Source organism: Homo sapiens, chromosome 3, assembly GCF_000001405.40.
Source record: "Homo sapiens chromosome 3, GRCh38.p14 Primary Assembly".
In the NCBI taxonomy this organism is placed as follows: domain Eukaryota; kingdom Metazoa; phylum Chordata; class Mammalia; order Primates; family Hominidae; genus Homo; species Homo sapiens.
In genome coordinates, this window is record NC_000003.12 from 177,018,949 (window position 1) to 177,036,939 (window position 17,991).

At 34.8% G+C, this 17,991-nt stretch overlaps 1 protein-coding gene across 18 annotated transcripts in view; it reads right to left on the reverse strand.

The window, feature by feature from the left end:
* Positions 396–17,991, reverse strand: part of TBL1XR1 (TBL1X/Y related 1) — a 182,457-nt gene continuing 164,861 nt past the window's right edge. For all 18 annotated transcript variants that reach the window (XM_047448940.1, NM_001374327.1, XM_011513142.3 and 15 more), the window contains 4 exons: positions 15,250–15,377; positions 14,023–14,188; positions 7,425–7,526; positions 396–6,576 (listed from right to left, as the gene is read on the reverse strand). In XM_047448940.1, the coding sequence (XP_047304896.1) occupies positions 6,550–6,576; positions 7,425–7,526; positions 14,023–14,188; positions 15,250–15,377 (423 nt within the window). In that variant the 3' untranslated portion in view covers positions 396–6,549. The remainder of the gene's footprint in view (positions 6,577–7,424; positions 7,527–14,022; positions 14,189–15,249; positions 15,378–17,991) is intronic.

Consider the following 17,991-nt stretch of genomic DNA (forward strand, 5'->3'; position numbering starts at 1 on the left):
CAGTGTGTAGATTCTTCAAAATCCCCTATATTGAATGTGAGAGATCCTGGAAGCTGATCCTGTTTTTAAATGTCTGATTTCAGACTGTGAAGTTCAATGTGACTAGATTTTTTAATGCAAGTCTATTTGAGGTGCTCAGGCAGTGCTTGTTTTCTCCACAGGAGCCCGGCCCAGTGGCAATCCAACCTATGCTTTACGGCTTTCTGACAGCACAACATCTCTTAAGGCAGCTCGTTCTGACATTAGATTAGTATGTCAGAAAGTTTGTTTTTTTTTTTTTTAAATAAGACTGTGATATCTTTTTCGGTATAGATTCCACCCCATTGGTCTTAGTTCTTAAAATATAAATTGTCTGCCCAATGGATCATACAAACCCAACAACCAAGAAACATTAGTAATTGTCTTCTGTACTTTACTAAACACTTTGTGTTTAATATATTTTAAATTGTAAAGAAATTACAAGGAACTCCTAAAAAAATTTAATACAAAAATATTACAAGTTAGGACAATTAAGCATTAAGATGACATTTAAGAAGCATGCAGAAAAAGTAGCATAGGGTTAACATTTCATTGATGACAAAGCACTTTGGTACAGCAGAGAAAAGCACCATAAAACTACCATCTAAAGTGTCTTTTCCTCCACTGTATTTTTTCAAATGAATATATTGGTAAAACAGTAAACTTTGATCTGATCTGCTACGGATTATACTAGGTAATAAATCTAATCCATTGTAAAGTGTTAACTATGAAATTAAAAATAATCCCTTCTATTACTGTTCAAATTAGTTTCAGCTTTCCCTCAAGCTTATAAGGATTCTAATCCTTAGGAGTCCAACCCTTTTTGGAAAAGTATACAATGCAGGATATTACTAATAATCTATGCCATGCAATAAAAGTTAACCCCTTGAAAATGAAAGCATGTCAGTTCTAGCAACTGCAGTGGCTTATTTCTAATAAAACATAAAACTATGCTTGAATTTATTTCTGTTTAAGGAAATAAACAGGAAAAATAGAAGACCTAGAGAGTGTAAATTCTTAAAAAAAAAAAAAAGAAAATATGCTCAATGATTCTTTTTAAAAAGTCTCTAACTCTAAAGGAGTTGGTATTAATTAAAACTAGAAGGTGTCTAGTTGTTTTTCTTATAAAGTTTGTAGTAACAACTAGCTAAGAGAGAAAATGATTCAACTATAATTGGCTTGTTGTGAAGCAAAAAAAGGTCACCGAGAAGTTGAGCCTCCTGCCCTAATCTTCAACACATCTACACATTGTTTTGTGCTCAACCGTGTGGCTAACCAAACAAATGTTATCTAAGGTCTCTTTTTCAGCTTCTGTGAAATAACGTCTTTTAAATACAATATTTATTTTTCAAAAGAATTAAAAATTACAATCCCTTAGCTGATTAGATGCTCTATTATACTTTAATAAAAATAGTAAATAACCCCTTCATTTAAAAAAATCTTATCTCCTGCAAGAAGTAATAAAAATAGTAAAATTTGTAATTTTATTATGGGCTTAAAGTATATATCTTGGGAAACAATACGTTTATGAAAAACAGTGGTTTGGGTTCTGATGGCAGTTATTAATCAGTAACACCAGTATGGGAGAGAATGAATGTGTTATAGGTTATGAAGGCTAACTTGGAAAAAAAGGTTTATTCTACAATAGAACACTGGAGAAGTAAAAGCAATTAAAATGTAAACAAACTGTAAACAAGAAATACCATCCCTCTCTCTTTACCTGACTAGTAAATAGTCTATATAAACTACATAGACATCAAAGGTTTTATATATGTACACAGCCAACATAATATCAAAATATATTTTATTCTGGACCTCTTTCAGATCTGATTCAAATTACAGTTGTCAAAGCAATACAATGCAAAGGGGAACTGCAACAACAACAACAACAAGAAATGTGCCTAGAAAGGATAAAAGGGTCACTGGGGACAAATCATTGTGATGTGGAACTAAAATACGTCGTAAGTGTAATTAACATGGTCCAGGACAGCACAGAACATCTACATCAGTCTTCCTTACACAATAATCATGAAAACTGAACAATGAAGTTCTTTAACATGTACAAAAACCTGTCATGGGCTGGTTTACACTTTTACAACAGTTTTAAAGTTAACTGGATAACTAAAGAAATGATGCAGACATTTTAATCCAGTGCTATAGGTAGGCTCACAGAATTAGACCCAAAGGATTTGTAAAAACAAAAATGGAAACAGTATAGCTACAATGTCAAAGTCAGGAAAGAAGAAAATTTACTTCCGTATTCAAGGATTACAGAGCTACAAATGCAGTCTGTGTGTTTTTGTTTGTAATGAGATGGATAAGTACATCAGACTAGATACAACATGCAGAATGTTTTCCTGAACTTATCCGGAAATTCCAAAGAAAACATCATGAAACAGCTTACAAAAAAAAAAAAAATATATGCCCTAGTTATTCACCCTGCTTCAACACTGTCAACGTAAAGGCAGAAATAAAGCAAGCTATCAATACCTCAGAACTACTGATATAAGACATCAAATTTCTAAATCAGTGTATTAAAAAAGTGAACACTTCCTCTTTCTTCTCTCTTCTACATTTAACTAGAATCATGTTTAAAAAAAACTGATATTAAATGTGACACTTCAGAGCTACTACTGGAAGGAGTAATTCATAACTTCCCTACCCTCCTTCCATCCCTGCTGATTCAGGAGAAGGGGGAAAAAACAAAGAAAACAAAACGAAAAACCAACCAGGGTCTCTTGTAGATTTGCTGCTATTCCACAAAATGTTGGCATTTGCTGCCATGCCACAATGTTGGTCCACTGAAATAGGATTTCTGCGGAAACTGTCAACAGTAGTAATTCACCATATGCAAGTACCATCCTTATCATGCGAGAATAATCACAGGTTCTGTAGAAATGTACAATGTACTTAAGATAATGAAAATTGTAGCGCTGCATTTGAGATTTATTTCTCTACTTAGCTAGTAAAACTTGTCATTTTTGCTCACTTAAGTATGATCATTTGTGATTCCTTTAAATAGCAAAAATGCACAGTCCTCTTTAGGCCTCTACTCAATAATAGTTTACATTACTCTTAACAAAATCATTCTACATAAACAGATAGCTCCTTAAAAATAGTACTCTCTCATTAAATCTAATTTGACAGAAAGAAGTTTAAGGGAAAAAGGAGTGCTTTGTAAGTGAAAAAGTACAAATCTTTGGCCTTTCTCTTGACATTTTCGTATGTCAAAAAGCAAAAAACCTTCATGTATTTCAATCTAGTGATTACTTTTTGCACCATAATTTGTTTTTTACACCACAAAAGGAGGCACTTTCAGTATCTGTAAAAGGTATTTAATCCTAAAACATACTTACCTAGAGAATAATTAAAACAGAATTCAATACAATCTAGTATCTATTAGGAAATTAAGAGTTATCACTTCTAAAAGTCATTTGAAAGTCAATGATGTTATCTGGTCAATGGCAGGAAATGGGAACTGGAACAAATATAAGAACTTATGGGATTTCCTACACGGAGACAAAAAAAGATATTCCTTTATGTTGTTTAAAAGTGGCAGCTGCTCTTTCTTTATTCCATTTTAATCAATGAGTATTGATTCAAGTTTTCCTTTCTATTTTTCCTTATGATAAGTTTCTTACAGTAGCTTATACAACAACAAATAGCATAGAAAAACTACTGGATTCAATTGATCATCAGGAATAAGTTCTCAGAAAAACACAGGCGGAAAAATAAGCAAGAATCCCAAATACAGAACTTTACAAGCTGTGAAACTTGGTCTCTTGCAATCATGTTACTGCTCAAATTAGAGACAATCTTATTGCTGTCTATTGGAGCAGCATCGTGGCACATCAGCAGGCAATGATGATGTTGAGAACAGCAGCAAAAATAAACAATCGTATGCTCATGAAGAACCCAAGCCTACAAAATGGATACCTTTCAGAAAAGTATATACTTAAAAGACCCAAGACGTCAGGATAATAAAGCTCTGTATTTATAATCTTTTATATGTCCTATTGTGGCTATTATGCTTAAGTAAAATAGCTAAAGAAAAAAAAGAAAAAAAAAACAGAAAAGATGACAATATCATAAAAATGTAGCTGTCTATTTTGGCAGCTATATTGCAGAATTTCTTGACTATCTTTTAATCAGCTGGGAAAAAGTCAATAACTGTATGCAAATGAATAAACTGTCCATATCAAAATACAAAAGTACTATCAATAATCACCTCTGACTTTCAGATTTAAATTCAGTGCAATTGACAAATGCATCACTAAAGGAAAATGCAGCTTAAAAGATACTCAAAACATTTGTGTCTATTCCTGGGAGCACATTTTAAAATTATTGCACAGATTTTTTTAATTTTTATTTATTTTTTTTAAACAATAACAGAGGTCAACCACAGATGTGGACCTCCAGCAATAAAAGCAGGAATTCAAGTGCCAGATACTCAGCATATTAGGTTTCCTACGTAAGTCACAGGGTAATATGTTCTAAATATCTCTAATGTGATCCAAAACCCTAAAAAGAGCTGGCACAAAACCATCGTGAATGACTGCCTCTCTTGATGTAAATTTTTAAAAATATTATTACAGTATCATAGTCCCCACTAACAACAACTGGGGTACATATAACAATGTATTGTGAAATTAAGTGTATTTATTCTCTTTACCAATAGCAAATGCTACCCTACCTTAGTAAAACCAAGACTTGCTTCAATCAATGCTGTTTTGTAAAAATAGCAAAGCAACGAATGCTGAAATCAATCAAAGCTGCATTACTTGGGTTAAATCAGTTTCTACTTAGAACACAGGTTAAAATTTTAGTACTAAAAGGCCTCAAAATAATTAGTGACAGAAATAGTGTTATTAATTTGCTAAGCTCAACAATAAGCAATTCCTTAATTAAAATCTTCGAGATATAAATTTGATGACTATTCTCTTCAGAAATGACATACCTGGATTATGTTAATCATGACAAGCCTTATTAGTCACACATATAAACATGGCCTCATGCAATCATTTGTCTGTATATGTTACTCTAAGTTGCATGAGCACAAGGTTTAATATCTATATCTTTAAGAAAATACTTGATATTATAAACAGAGTAAAAGACATGATATAGTAGTGATTACTAAAAAAAAAAAAATTAGCAGCTTAAATCTATCTATATTTGAAAAAACGTAGTCACAAGTACCACAAATGCAGAATCAGAGCAGCAGGAAGAAGGTTAGTGCAATTATACTTTCATTAAAAAAAATTCTGAATCACTGCTATTTAAAAACACCTTGAAGCAAGTCTTTTGTTTGAGATTGTTTTTTAAACTAAGGTAGCAAACATTTTGCCATGTAATGGCAGTGTTATATGCCGTTATCTTGCTTTGTATAAAGAAAACAACATGAGAGATTTTTAATACTGGAGTTTGGTTACATTACATATTTAAGCTTCTACACAGAATGATGGACACTTCGAGAAGCTAATCCTTATCCAGAAACATTTTAATCTCTTAAAAAACAAAGCAAAACAAACAAACAACAAAAAACCCAAAACTACGTTGCTCCTTTTCACAATAGTGCACATTTTTACCATAATTTAGTTATGGCTACAAAACATCAGAAGATTTTTTTTAATGTATCTTCTCTATGGTAATTAAAAAAAAAGTTGTGCCCTTCTAGTCTTTAATTGGCAGAAATATGTCCCAAAAAAGAAACTATTGCATTTAAGCCACATCACCAAAAAACAAAAAAGAAAAAAAAAAAAAAAAAGCAAAACAAAAAAACAAAACCAACAGAGCATAATACCCTTTTACTGATGTGTCTTACAGATTGACATGACCAAAGTCATAGGTTTTCATTTAATTTCCAATTCCCCCTTCCACAACATGCACCAACTGAATATATGCTCTGGGAGCCATAAAATGTACCAAACATCTACCTCTTCAAAAGAATGCATTAAAATATTTTAAAGAATTTTTTGTTTAAAAGGTGAAAAAAATATAAACAAGAAACTGATTCACTCCCTTACTTCATGCATCCATAATCTAAACCAAAAACGAAATTTTAAAGCAAGAACAAACTACTGCTGCAAGTTTTTGTAAGTCCATTTTCTCTGTACATACAAACTGCTCACTACTGAAGGGAAAAAAAGAATATAATCCATGGTGTCTGCTGATTCAAAGGGGAGAAACAAGGCTGTCATTTAGTATCCAAAAACTGGTACATGTATGTTCTGCTTTTATAATGTATATTTTTCTCTCTTCTGTTTTTCATATCCAAAACTTCTAAATGCTATTTTAGGGGCACAGCAGATTAGATTCCAGCACTTGGTGAACAGAATTCACAAGCTGTGACAAAACTCTGTCATCTTCAGGGTGCAATTTTGTTTATATACACTGTATGTATATATTTCTTTTAGATTTGGCTGTAGTGGACTGGCCATGGTTCAAGTGGGACTATAGCAGTACATGGGTCAGGGACAGTCATTTTGGCTATGTACACATTCATAGTCGGTCCATGGCTTCCAACTAGTAGCGCTATTTCCGAAGGTCTAATACACAAACCTGTAAGAAATTAAAATAATCAACCAGTGTATTCAGAATTTTATTGTACATTTTATGTTTAACTTTTCTATAGTACAATTTGAAATGTTTCTTAGTTCCAAGTTTATAAAATTGGTAAAGCATAATAATCATGGAAATGAGCACTTAACTGACAGAAATCAGACAGATCATTTAAGCAGATCAAGAGAACAACCATGAGCTCAAACTGTGGGGGAAGAACCACGGCTAGGATTTTTATACTCTCTGTTGATTAAAAAGGAGGGGGAAAATGCTCAAAACAGACCATTTCCTATCTATTGGACCCTAATGAAAGATATCACAGATTATATTCAGCTACAGCATCAGTAAATAGCTACCCTTTTCCCACCTTCTGGTGCTTCTACAGCTTTGGAAGCCATATTTGCATTGTTGTAAAGAGTTGGCTAACCTCATCCTGAAAATCTTTCAGTATCACACATTCCTCAACACAGGAACCAACTGCCTCTAGTTCTGCCTTCCCTGGGCCAAAAAAATTCTTCTGTGAAGAGGAGAAGGTAGAAATACACATTAAACATTTCAATCCTTCTCAGAATGTTCCTCTGGTATACCTAATTTCATAAATGAAGGTTCATATTAAAAATAACTGTCCATTTCTAGATTATAAGGTATTTGGTAAGGACAGCCTAAATTTTGTTTACATTATTTGAATCCAACGCACATGAAAAGTTTACAGCCTCAGGAAAAAAAAAAATCAGTATCATACCTTAAAATTTATTTTGAAAAAAACACTTTGGTATCACTAACAATAAGCTGCATTCTGATGTGAATACCCACCCACACCCTCTTTGGAAACACTTTACTATACTTACTGAACCATCTGATGCACTGGCTCCAACTTTGTCTCCTGCTGCATTCCAGCAAACTTCAAATATTCCACCTGTTCCCCTATAGCTGTGAACTAGAGCACCTGTCTAAAAGAATGAAAAACAAAATCTTAAAAATCGTAATACATATTATAATAAATCCAAATGCTGAAATAAAAATATTACATAGCTTTATTTCTAGCAATCAGAGGAGGGACTTAGCTTCAACTATAAAAATAAGTTCTGAAATTCTAGAAATGTAATATGATCCCTTTACAAAAAGATAATACCAGCCTGTTCTCAAAAGATTACTCACACACATATTCAGTTTCTCCAGTCTTGATAACCATTCTTGGCTAAGGTATCTGGTCTCTCTGACATAGCCAACAATAGCTAGAAGTAAACAGTCAGTCTATCACATGAAATAAGTTTTTGTTGTTGCTAAATGATACATGAGTCTAGCTAACATGTAGAGAAACAAAATAAATTCAGAATTTCTTTGACAAAACATCTTAAAGAGGAAGTATAACAAACTAGTAAAGATAATTCCAGTATAAATCTGTTATTCACTCTATATTTACTGACCAGTTCCTAAGCTAGGGGATTATAAAAGAAGCTAAAATAATGTATGTATGTTCCTTTTTTTTCTTTAGACAGGGTCTTGTTGTTACCCAGGATGGATGCAGCTGTGCAATCATAGCTCACTGCACCTTCTAACTCCTGGGCTAGAGTGATCCTCCCGCCTCCACCTCCTAAGTAGCTAGGATTACAAGTGCATGCCACCATGCCCAGCTGATTTTTAAAAAATTATTTGTAGAGACAAGGTCTCACCGTGTTGCCCAGGCTGGTCTTGAACTCCTGGCCTCAAGCAATCCACCCACCCTGGCCTCCCAAAATGTTGGGATTATAAGCATGCACCACAGTGCCCAGACAGATATGTACACTATTCTTGAAAGACGTTATATGTTTAAACAAAAAACACAGGCAGGAATACTAATAATGTAATCATTCATTAAGCTGAATCATAAATGTAACAACGTTATTTTATTATTCAGCTGCTACTGAAGAATTAAAACTCAATCCAAAAATATATTCTCCTATGAAACCAGTCAATATAACAGGACAAAGATCAGAGGTCCTGTTATGAAAACTGAAATATATGCTTCAGGTGTTCGGCCCTGACAAATCAGAAAAGTGACCTCTGCAGCTTTATGGTAACCTAAAGTCAAGCTAGAGGTGGCAGATCTACTTAAAAGCACATGGCAACAAACCATGCACCTTGAAAATACCTCCCATTCAGCCTATCCAAGATGACAAGCTGGAAGAATGTTTGACCGAGCTTTCCTCTTCAAATTTAGCCCAGTAATGTGGCACAAATCACAGATGCATTGGTACTGACACATTGCTACTGATTATCAGGCTGGGAAGGCTCAACTGTTTTGTTTACTTAAAATTTCTCATAATTTATGAGATTAAGTTCAAGTATAGTAGGCTTTGAGTATCTATAGTTAATGAGGAGAGAAAAAAGTAGAACCAACAAAATCTAGTTTGCTGAGATATAAAAAATAAAATCTACAGTCAACCTACAGACATTCAATCTACAGCCAACTTGGGGGTTAAAAAAACAAAACAACTTTCTTTTAAAAAGCACTTACCAATCTCTAAGCTTGAACTGGGCTATAACGAACCAAAACATTATGGGCAACAAGGCAGAGCTAAGACATTTAAAAAGGCCAATGGCTCAGATCATCGGCATCTACCTCAAATTTGTATGTATGCTGGCACAAGACTTCTACAATTTACTCATCAAATGCTTAGGCAACTCATCATACAAGAAAGGGGAAAACAAAAAACCTGGATGTATATACAACAATAGGATAATGATTTTCTCCTGCACTGAAAATTCACTGTTTTACTATTTTCAAAGTTTGAAAAAGTAAGACTTTTGGTACACAATAGTGAAAACAAAATAATATGAACAGTTGGTCAAATGCCCTTCAATGTCTTGTAGTATCTTCCATTAGCACTCTACAGTTCTATGCCCAAATTTCATTAAAATTGATTTTGTCACAATGGACTAAATGAGTTCACTGAAAATGTTCTAAATGTGAGCAACAACTAGTATATAAAAGGAATGTATTTTTTAAAAGAGGTCATTCATAGTAACATAAAAACCATAAGGCACCTCAAAACACATTAGGAAAAAAGATCCTTAGAGAAACTATAAAACTTTACCAAAGGAATAAAAGACAAATAAATGGAGGTATAACGTATTTATGGGTGATAAAACTCAATAACGATTTTCCCTAATTTCACCTATAAATTCAAGGCACTCATAAACAAAATCCAAAATTGTGTGCTCTGTTTTGGAAATATGGATGACTAAAGTGGCAAGAACAGAAAAACAGTTTTGAAGAATAACAACAAGAGGGATTTATAAAGTTAGAATTATTAAAACTATGCTATTGATTCAGATAAGGCAAATACGTAAATGGAATAAAAGAGAAGGTAATAAACAAACTGCATATACATGAACTAGGTATATGAAACCGGCATTATGAAAACAGAAAGGGGACAATGAATGGTGCTAAGACAACTGACTACCCAAATGGAAATATCTATACCTCACACCATATATAAAAATCAGTTCCAAAGGGGCTAAAAAAATAAATGTAAAGGAATAAAACTTAGATACTTCATGAAAAAATATCAGACCTCAGTGATATCTATAAGGAAAAATGTATTAAGCTATGAAAAAAAAAAAAAGCTATCAAAAAGGAAAGATCTAGCCGGGCACAGTGGCATGTGCCTGTAGACCCAGCTACACAGAATGCTGAGGTCAAAGGATCTCTTGAGCTGAGGAGTCCAGCCTGGGTAACACAGCAAGACCCTATCTCTAAAAATAATCAACTAATTTTAAAAAGAAAGATAAATACATCTAAACATTAACATTAAAAACTTTCATATGATCTGGGCGTGATGCCTCATGCCTGTAATCCCAGGAATACTTTGGAAGGCTGAGGCAAGTGGATCCCTTGAGCCTAGGGGGTTGAGGCCAGACTGGGCAACATGGCAAAACCCGGTCTCTACAGAAAAATACAAAAATTAGTGGGGTGTGGTGGCATGCAGCTGTGATCCCAGCTACTTGGAAGGCTGAGGTGGGAGGATTAGCTAAGCCCAGGAAGGCCAAGGCTGCAGTAAGCCTTGATCTGCCACTGCATTCCAGCCTAGGCGACATAGTGAGACTCTATCTCAAGACAAAACAAAACAACAACCAAAAAACCCCACAAAACTTCTACGTGATAAACACTCCACATGAAGAAAATAAAAAAGAAGGTACTGGGAGATCACTGGAATCCATATAACCAGGAAGGATTAGTACCCAGAATGCATAATGAACACTAATCAGTACAGAATATAAAACAATTGAAAAATTGTGGTGGTGGTGGTGAACTAAAATGCTAAAGTCCAACTGTATAATAACTATTTGAAAAGATATTTAAACTAATTGACAATCAAGAAAATGCAAATACAAAATGTTTCATATCCATGTAATTGGAAAAATGTTCACCAGTCTGATAACCTAAAGATAAAGGAAAATGGGAAATCCTAAATATTGTGATTAGAAATGTAAATGGGTGTATGCACGTTGAAGAGCAGTTAGGCACAAGCACGTAAATATACCGTATGGGCCATGACTTCCACTTACAGGATATGCTATGCACAGGTGTGTGTGTGTATGTGTGTGTGTGTGTATATATATATAGAGAGAGAGAGAGAGAGACAGACACACACAGAGAAGCGTTAGAGAAACTTTCATTCATGTGCACAAGAAAACGTGGATGGATGTTCCAGCAATGTTGTACATTTTTAAATCCCCCAATAGGAAAATAAATTTGAAAATTAATATATTCATATTATGAATATATTATTAATGAATATATTAATATATTCATATAATGCTCTGGAATAGTCTAAATAAATAATCATTCTAGAGGTACAAGTATTAATGTGATATTTCAAAGAAGTGGTAAAAAACACTAGCTTGAAAAGACATACAATAGAAGATTCACAACAGCATGATTAATTACAATTTTACCACAGAAAATAGTAGTATATATCATTTATCATGGGAATGACAGGCACTCTCTTCAGGATTGCTATAGCCTCTAGGAAGGAAGAGGAAAATGGAGGTGAACACTTTATCTGTATCTATAACATTTTATCAGGTAAAAATAGGAAGGAAGAGATTCACAACAGTGTGGCAACATGTTCTTATCAATTAAATCTGAGCAGTAGATATATGAGTGTTATATTATTTTCTGTTTGAAATGTATAATTATTAAAAGTGAAAATGAACAAATACTAACTTGAATATACATGGAAATGATATTATTTAGATTTAGATTCACTTTCATCAACTCTGTAACTGTTGTTCAGTTTTAAAAAGTTTAGTTGGGTGAGGCCGGGCATGGTGGCTCACACCTGTAATCCCAGCACTTTGGGAGGCCAAGGCGGGTGGATGACCTGAGGTCAGGAGTCTGGGACCAGCCTGGCCAACATGGTGAAACTCCATCTCTACTAAAAATACCAAAACTAGCCGGGTGTGGTGGCAGGCACCTATAATCCCAGCTACTCATGGGGCTGAGGCAGGAGAATCGCTTGAACCCAGGAGGTGGAGGTTGCAGTTAGCCGAGATCGTGCCATCGCACTCCAGCCTGGGGCACAAGAGCGAGACTTCATCTCAAAAAATAAAAATAAAAATGAAAAATAAAGTTTAGCTGGGTGTATGATTAGTGTCTTCCCACAAACACAAAGTTAAACTAAAATTTAGGAAAGAGTTTTTAAGGCATATATATCATAGTTACAGAATATATCCAACATAGGCATATATTCATAAAGACAGCAAATATGGGAGTAGAGGTAAGGAAGTAATAATAAAAATTAAAGCAGAACATTTTTACTTAATTTTTATTTTTTTTTTTTGAGACAGGGTCTCACTCTGTTGCCCGGGCTGGAGTGCCGTGGTGTGATCTTGGCTCACTACAACCTCCACTTCTGGGTTCAAGCAATTCTCCTGCCTCAGCCTCCCGAGTAGCTGAGACTACAGACATGTCACCACACCTGGCTAATTTTTGTATTTTTAGGAGAGATGGGGTTTCACCATGTTGACCAGCTGGTCTTGAACTCCTGACCTCAAGAGAACTGCCCGCCTTGGCCTCCCAAAGTGCTGGGATTACAGGCATGAGCCACCATGTGCAGCCTAAAATTTTATTAGAAGGCTCATGGTGGCTCATGCCTGTAATCCCAGCACTTTGGGAGGCTGAGGTGGGAGGATCCCTTGGGCCCAGGAGTTCAAGGCCAGCCCAGGCAACATAGAAAGATCCCGTTTCTATTTAAAGAAAAACAAAAATAAATATTAAAAAATTTTATTAAAATGTAATGTAAGATTCAGGCTTAATAATCATTTGTTCAACTAGCAAAAATCTGCAACCACATTACAAAGGGTTTAGTTTTTTAGTCTATAAAGAGCTGCTAGAAATCAAAGACAATGAATAACCCAGTTGAAAATAATGGAAAAAACATGATCAAACAGTTCACAGAAAAATTAACAAGTGTGCTTAAATATATAAAAAAAGATTCCTAATGTCATTCATAAGAAAATGCAAATTTAAAACTATGCTGAAATACCATTTATCACTAATGGATTGAACTGTGCGGTAAAATATTACTTTATATTGTCAGCAGTAGTGTAAAATGGAAGAAGCACAATGCTTTTATTCATAAAGAAGCTAGGAAGAAATAAAAACTAATAAAAATTGTTACCAGCAGGAGAGGAACAAAGTTTCTCAGTGTATACCTTTATACAAGGTTTGAGGTTTTTTCTGAACTGTATGCATGTATGAAGTAATTTAAAAATCTTCAAAGTAAGTGATGAAAATTAATTTGTGAAATGAACCATGGTGGCGGACACCTACACAAAGAGAAATACACCATAACAACTTATTATGTGTGCACTACAACCAACAAAGATCCGATAACTGAGAGGGGTGAGTTCAGTGACTGCTATTAAAAAAGTATAGTACATAGAGCAAAAAACTAAAACATTGAGAAGATTTAAAAAATTGAAAGCAACAGACTGTTTTCTCCACTTCTAAGAATCTCTGAAACACCATACATACTACCTGAAAAGGTAATGTAGTTGTAAGTTTCTTTCTCATAAATTATTGCATTCAGCCATAAAATCTGGTCCTTTGACTTTTACTGCTCACATATAGCTCCTTCGGAGACAACTATTTTGAAAAATAAAATCTGTCATTTATCTAAATAAATACATCTTAAACATTCACATCTGATATCTGCAAAACCGTTGGAAAAAAACAAAAGAATACAATAATAAATAATAAAACAAATGATCAAAATCCATTTCAAAATTCCAGTCTCCATAAAGATATAACTTCCATTAGTTTCTATCTTATTTTAAAACCAATAATTCAATTAATGCCACAAGAGGAATGACAACCAAATGGTGAGGCAGAGTGTATAGGCAAATGCTTCTACCTAAATTTAAGAGCACTTGACCATTTAAATAATGAAGACATACCTGCGTGTTCCAGATGTGTACACATTTGTCAAAAGAACCACTTGCCAGATACCTGCCATCAGGACTGAAAGCTACACTGTACACAGGCTCTTGGTGTTTTGTCAAGGTATGGATGCATATCCCTCGGTCTACATCCCATAACCTAACAGTAGAATCAAAGGATGCACTGAAAAAGGAAGGAAAGAAAGTTAATTTATAAGTAAGGAAATACTCCCCCAGCCTTGCTCCCACCCAACCTCCCATATTCAGCCAAATCTAATAGCCAAAATTCTTTATGAGAAGCAGACCGACTGGACTGTTAGGAAGAATATTCTGTGATCTTCAAGTCAGTGACAAGAAAATAATAAATAAATGAAATTTAGAAAGAAGAGCAAGTGTTCTAGAAATTAAAAGCTAAACAAGCGAAAAAAACAACTTAAAGGAATCTCCCAAGTCCAGGAGTAGAAAACGTAAATGTGCTCATTTACTGTATTCCTCTCTGTCTAAATAATCCCTCTTTCGCATGGTTTTGAACACCAAAGTGACCACATTTTTCCATTTATCTTTTTTTTTTCTAAAGATACTGAAGATTTTGCTATGCCTCAATTGCTTGGATTTTAATCAGTATTTGGTATCAGTCAATATTTGATTATTTCAATATAGAATATCATTATAACTTGAAACAATAATAAAACTCAGTGTTTAAAGATTCCCCTTAAGGAACCGACGTAAGTGCCCATCAGCTAACAAGTGGATAAAGAAAATGTGGTATACATACACCATGGAATACTACTTAGCCATAAAAAGAAATAAAATATTGTCCTTTGCAGTGACTTGGATAGAGCTGGAGGCCATCATGCTAAGTGAAATAACTCGGGAATGGAAAACCAAATATCATGTTCTGACTTGTAAGTGGGAGCTAAGCTATGAGGACACAAAGGTATAAGAATGATATAATGAACTTTGTGGACTGGAGGTGGGAGTGGGGAGAAGGCTGAGAAGAGAGGTGAGGAATAAAAGACTACACACTGGGTACACTACACTGCTTGCAAAACCAGTGCACAGAAATCAGCACTAAAGAATTTATTCTTGTAGCCAAAAACCACCTATACACCAAAAACTACTGAAATTGGAAAAAAAAAAAAAAAAGTTTCCACTTCATGAAATCTTCCCTAAACTTCTGTCATATCTATTGGAAGTCTGATTTGTAGAAGACTCATAAAAGGAAAAATGAAACAGAAGTATCACCTTGCTAACATAAGGTTGGCATTTGGATTATTAGTCCCTGGTCCTGTTGGACTCCATTTGATAGTATAAATTTCTTTATTATGTGCTTGCAAATCATGGACACAATTGTCTTGTTTCATACTCCATATCTAAACAAAAAAGAAAAATGTATACAATTATTTTTCCATACAATGAGTATATTTAAAATATTATTTTGACACTTAAAATATTATATGGACAGTCTAAAACATGAGTGATATAACCAGAATGATGATAGAATATTTACAAAGAAACTGAAATGCAATAGGATATATTTAATATTTACATCTCTGTTTAAAAAAAAAAGTTAGCTTTAAGCCCTTTAAAAATATTCACTATTACAAAGTTTGAAGACTGAATTAACTATAGTTGTTCTGAGATTAGTTAACGATCCTAAAATGTTGAAGGCACAGTTTTTACACTGTCCCTTAAGCAAAAGATCTACATAATAAACTGCTCTTAGAATTTTAGAATCAGGAAAATTTTACAATGGAGAACTGAAAATAAATAACCAACTTATAAATAATGAGGACTCACAGAGAACCGTAAAAAGTAGCATAGGAAATAAAGCTCAAATGAAAAGTAGGAAAAAAAAAAAGTAGAAAAAAGTAGTCAAAGTAGAGAATAAGCCTTTCCTGAGATGAAAATATGCCTGTGTGTATAGATTTCAAGTGACTATTATTTTTGAGCAAAAATTCATAGAAATCAACACGAAGAGTATTTCTGGGAAAAAAAAAATCACTCAATAAAGACATGGTAGGTCCTGCAGTTATCTCCTTAACACATACACATACAACATGCCAAACCCAAGGAGGGCCAACCAAGAAAAAAATCAGCTCAACTTTACATTTCCGTGACATAACCATTAAAAGATAATGAAGCATCAGAGTGTTTTTGGTGCCCTATGTATTTACAACCCCAAGTAAAATAAATCTGAACGACATGTTTTCAGAACTGATTTCATTAGACCTTTCTAATTCATAGAATTTGATACTGTTGGCCACTCTCAACTCTTACCTCCCTTGAAATAAGTTTCCTCTACATACTTTCTTTTTCCACTTTCTCAGTCACCTTCTCAGTTTCCTTTGGAAAGCTCATCCCTCTTGATTTGGTGATTGTTAGAGTTTCTAAGACTCACTTTTTTAGGTCCCCTCTTTTCTTACTCTGTACTACCTACACAGTTTTGTCCCTGCCCCAATTTTTTTTTTTTTTTTTTGGAGATGAAGTCTCACTCTCTTGCCCAGGCTGGAGTGCAGCACCACAATCTTGGCTCACTGCAACTCCGTCCCCCGGGTTCACGCAATTCTCCTGCCTCAGCCTCCAGAGTAGCTGGGATTATAGGCACCTGCCGCCACGCTCGGCTAAATTTGGTATATTTAGCAGAGATGGGGTTTCACCATGTTGACCAGCCTGGTCTTGAACTCCTGACCTCAAGTGAACTGCCCACGTCGGCCTCCCAAAGTGCTTTAATTATAGGCATGAGCTGTGGCAACATGGGGGCACTAGCTGTGGGTGTCTGCCTGCAGACCCTGACCCAGCAATGGATGAATAAAGTACACTAACACACAGATATCCTGTTTCGCCAGTCCAGCTGAGGGTGTCCGAGCCATTTACAGACTCCCTGGAGAGTTCTGTAAACAGTTGCGACCATGGCCCTATCCGCTAGTGAGACTCAAATTTATTCAGTAAGATTAATTCACAAAGGCTTGAGTCAACACCATTAGAGGGTAACTGACATTGTGGACTTCCCAAGTAAAAAGCACTTAAGCACCCATGGCACATCAAAGGTTAGTCTTAATATTATATGAGTAAACAAGCTAGCTAGGTAAACTACCCTGCCTTCCTTTATTACTAGTTTAATTTGTTTAACTAAAGGTAAAGGAACCAGGCCGCGTTCAGCCAGATCTATTACTGAAGTTACTTCTCAGTTTTCCAAGAAGATATGTGTCTATTTCTATAACTATCTCTAATATTTTTCCCACCAGCCTGATTGAACCCCAACAGTGAACCACCAGGCCTGGCCATGCCCAAGGATTTTAAAGACCACCTATCTGCTGAGAATTCCCAGTTTTTAATCTTGAGCTTACAGTTCTCTAAGCATCAGTCCCACCTATCTCCTCCATTCGCATGACTCAGCGTCACCTTCTCATTCCATCTGGCATTCCCTCTTCTCAGAAAACGGCCCATTACACATTATCCATCCATCCTAGTTTTTGCTTTAAAATCCTTTGTGACATTTAAACATTCTTAGGATGAAGAAAAGCTCTCTAACAATTTCTAGTTTTAACCTCTCTCCAGCTTCAACTCAATATGTGGCACAAGGCCCTCTGGACACTGCCCTTCTGTCATTTCCTCATATGTGTCACACACAGTTCCAGAAGAAGTTTTTTTCATGTTATAAGCATTAATACGTGTGCACATAAGGAAAAGCCAAAGATGAAAGCATTAAGAAGAGTATTAATACTAGCAATTTTGTAAGGGAGCCCAGACTTAAGAAGAACTGTCTAAAAACATAGCAGATACTTAAAGGAGAAAACCTCACAAGTTTCGCAAAGTTAAATTTAATCTGTTCATAGTAGCAGGAAAATCAGTTTTCCCTCATGATTTTCATATCTGTAACGGTCATCACATCTGCAGTCCTTGGTACTGCAAAGTCAAGGATAAAACTGTTTTCAGTAGAGGGTTAGCTGTTGCAGGAGAGGGCTCAAAGCTTCATTTATTTTG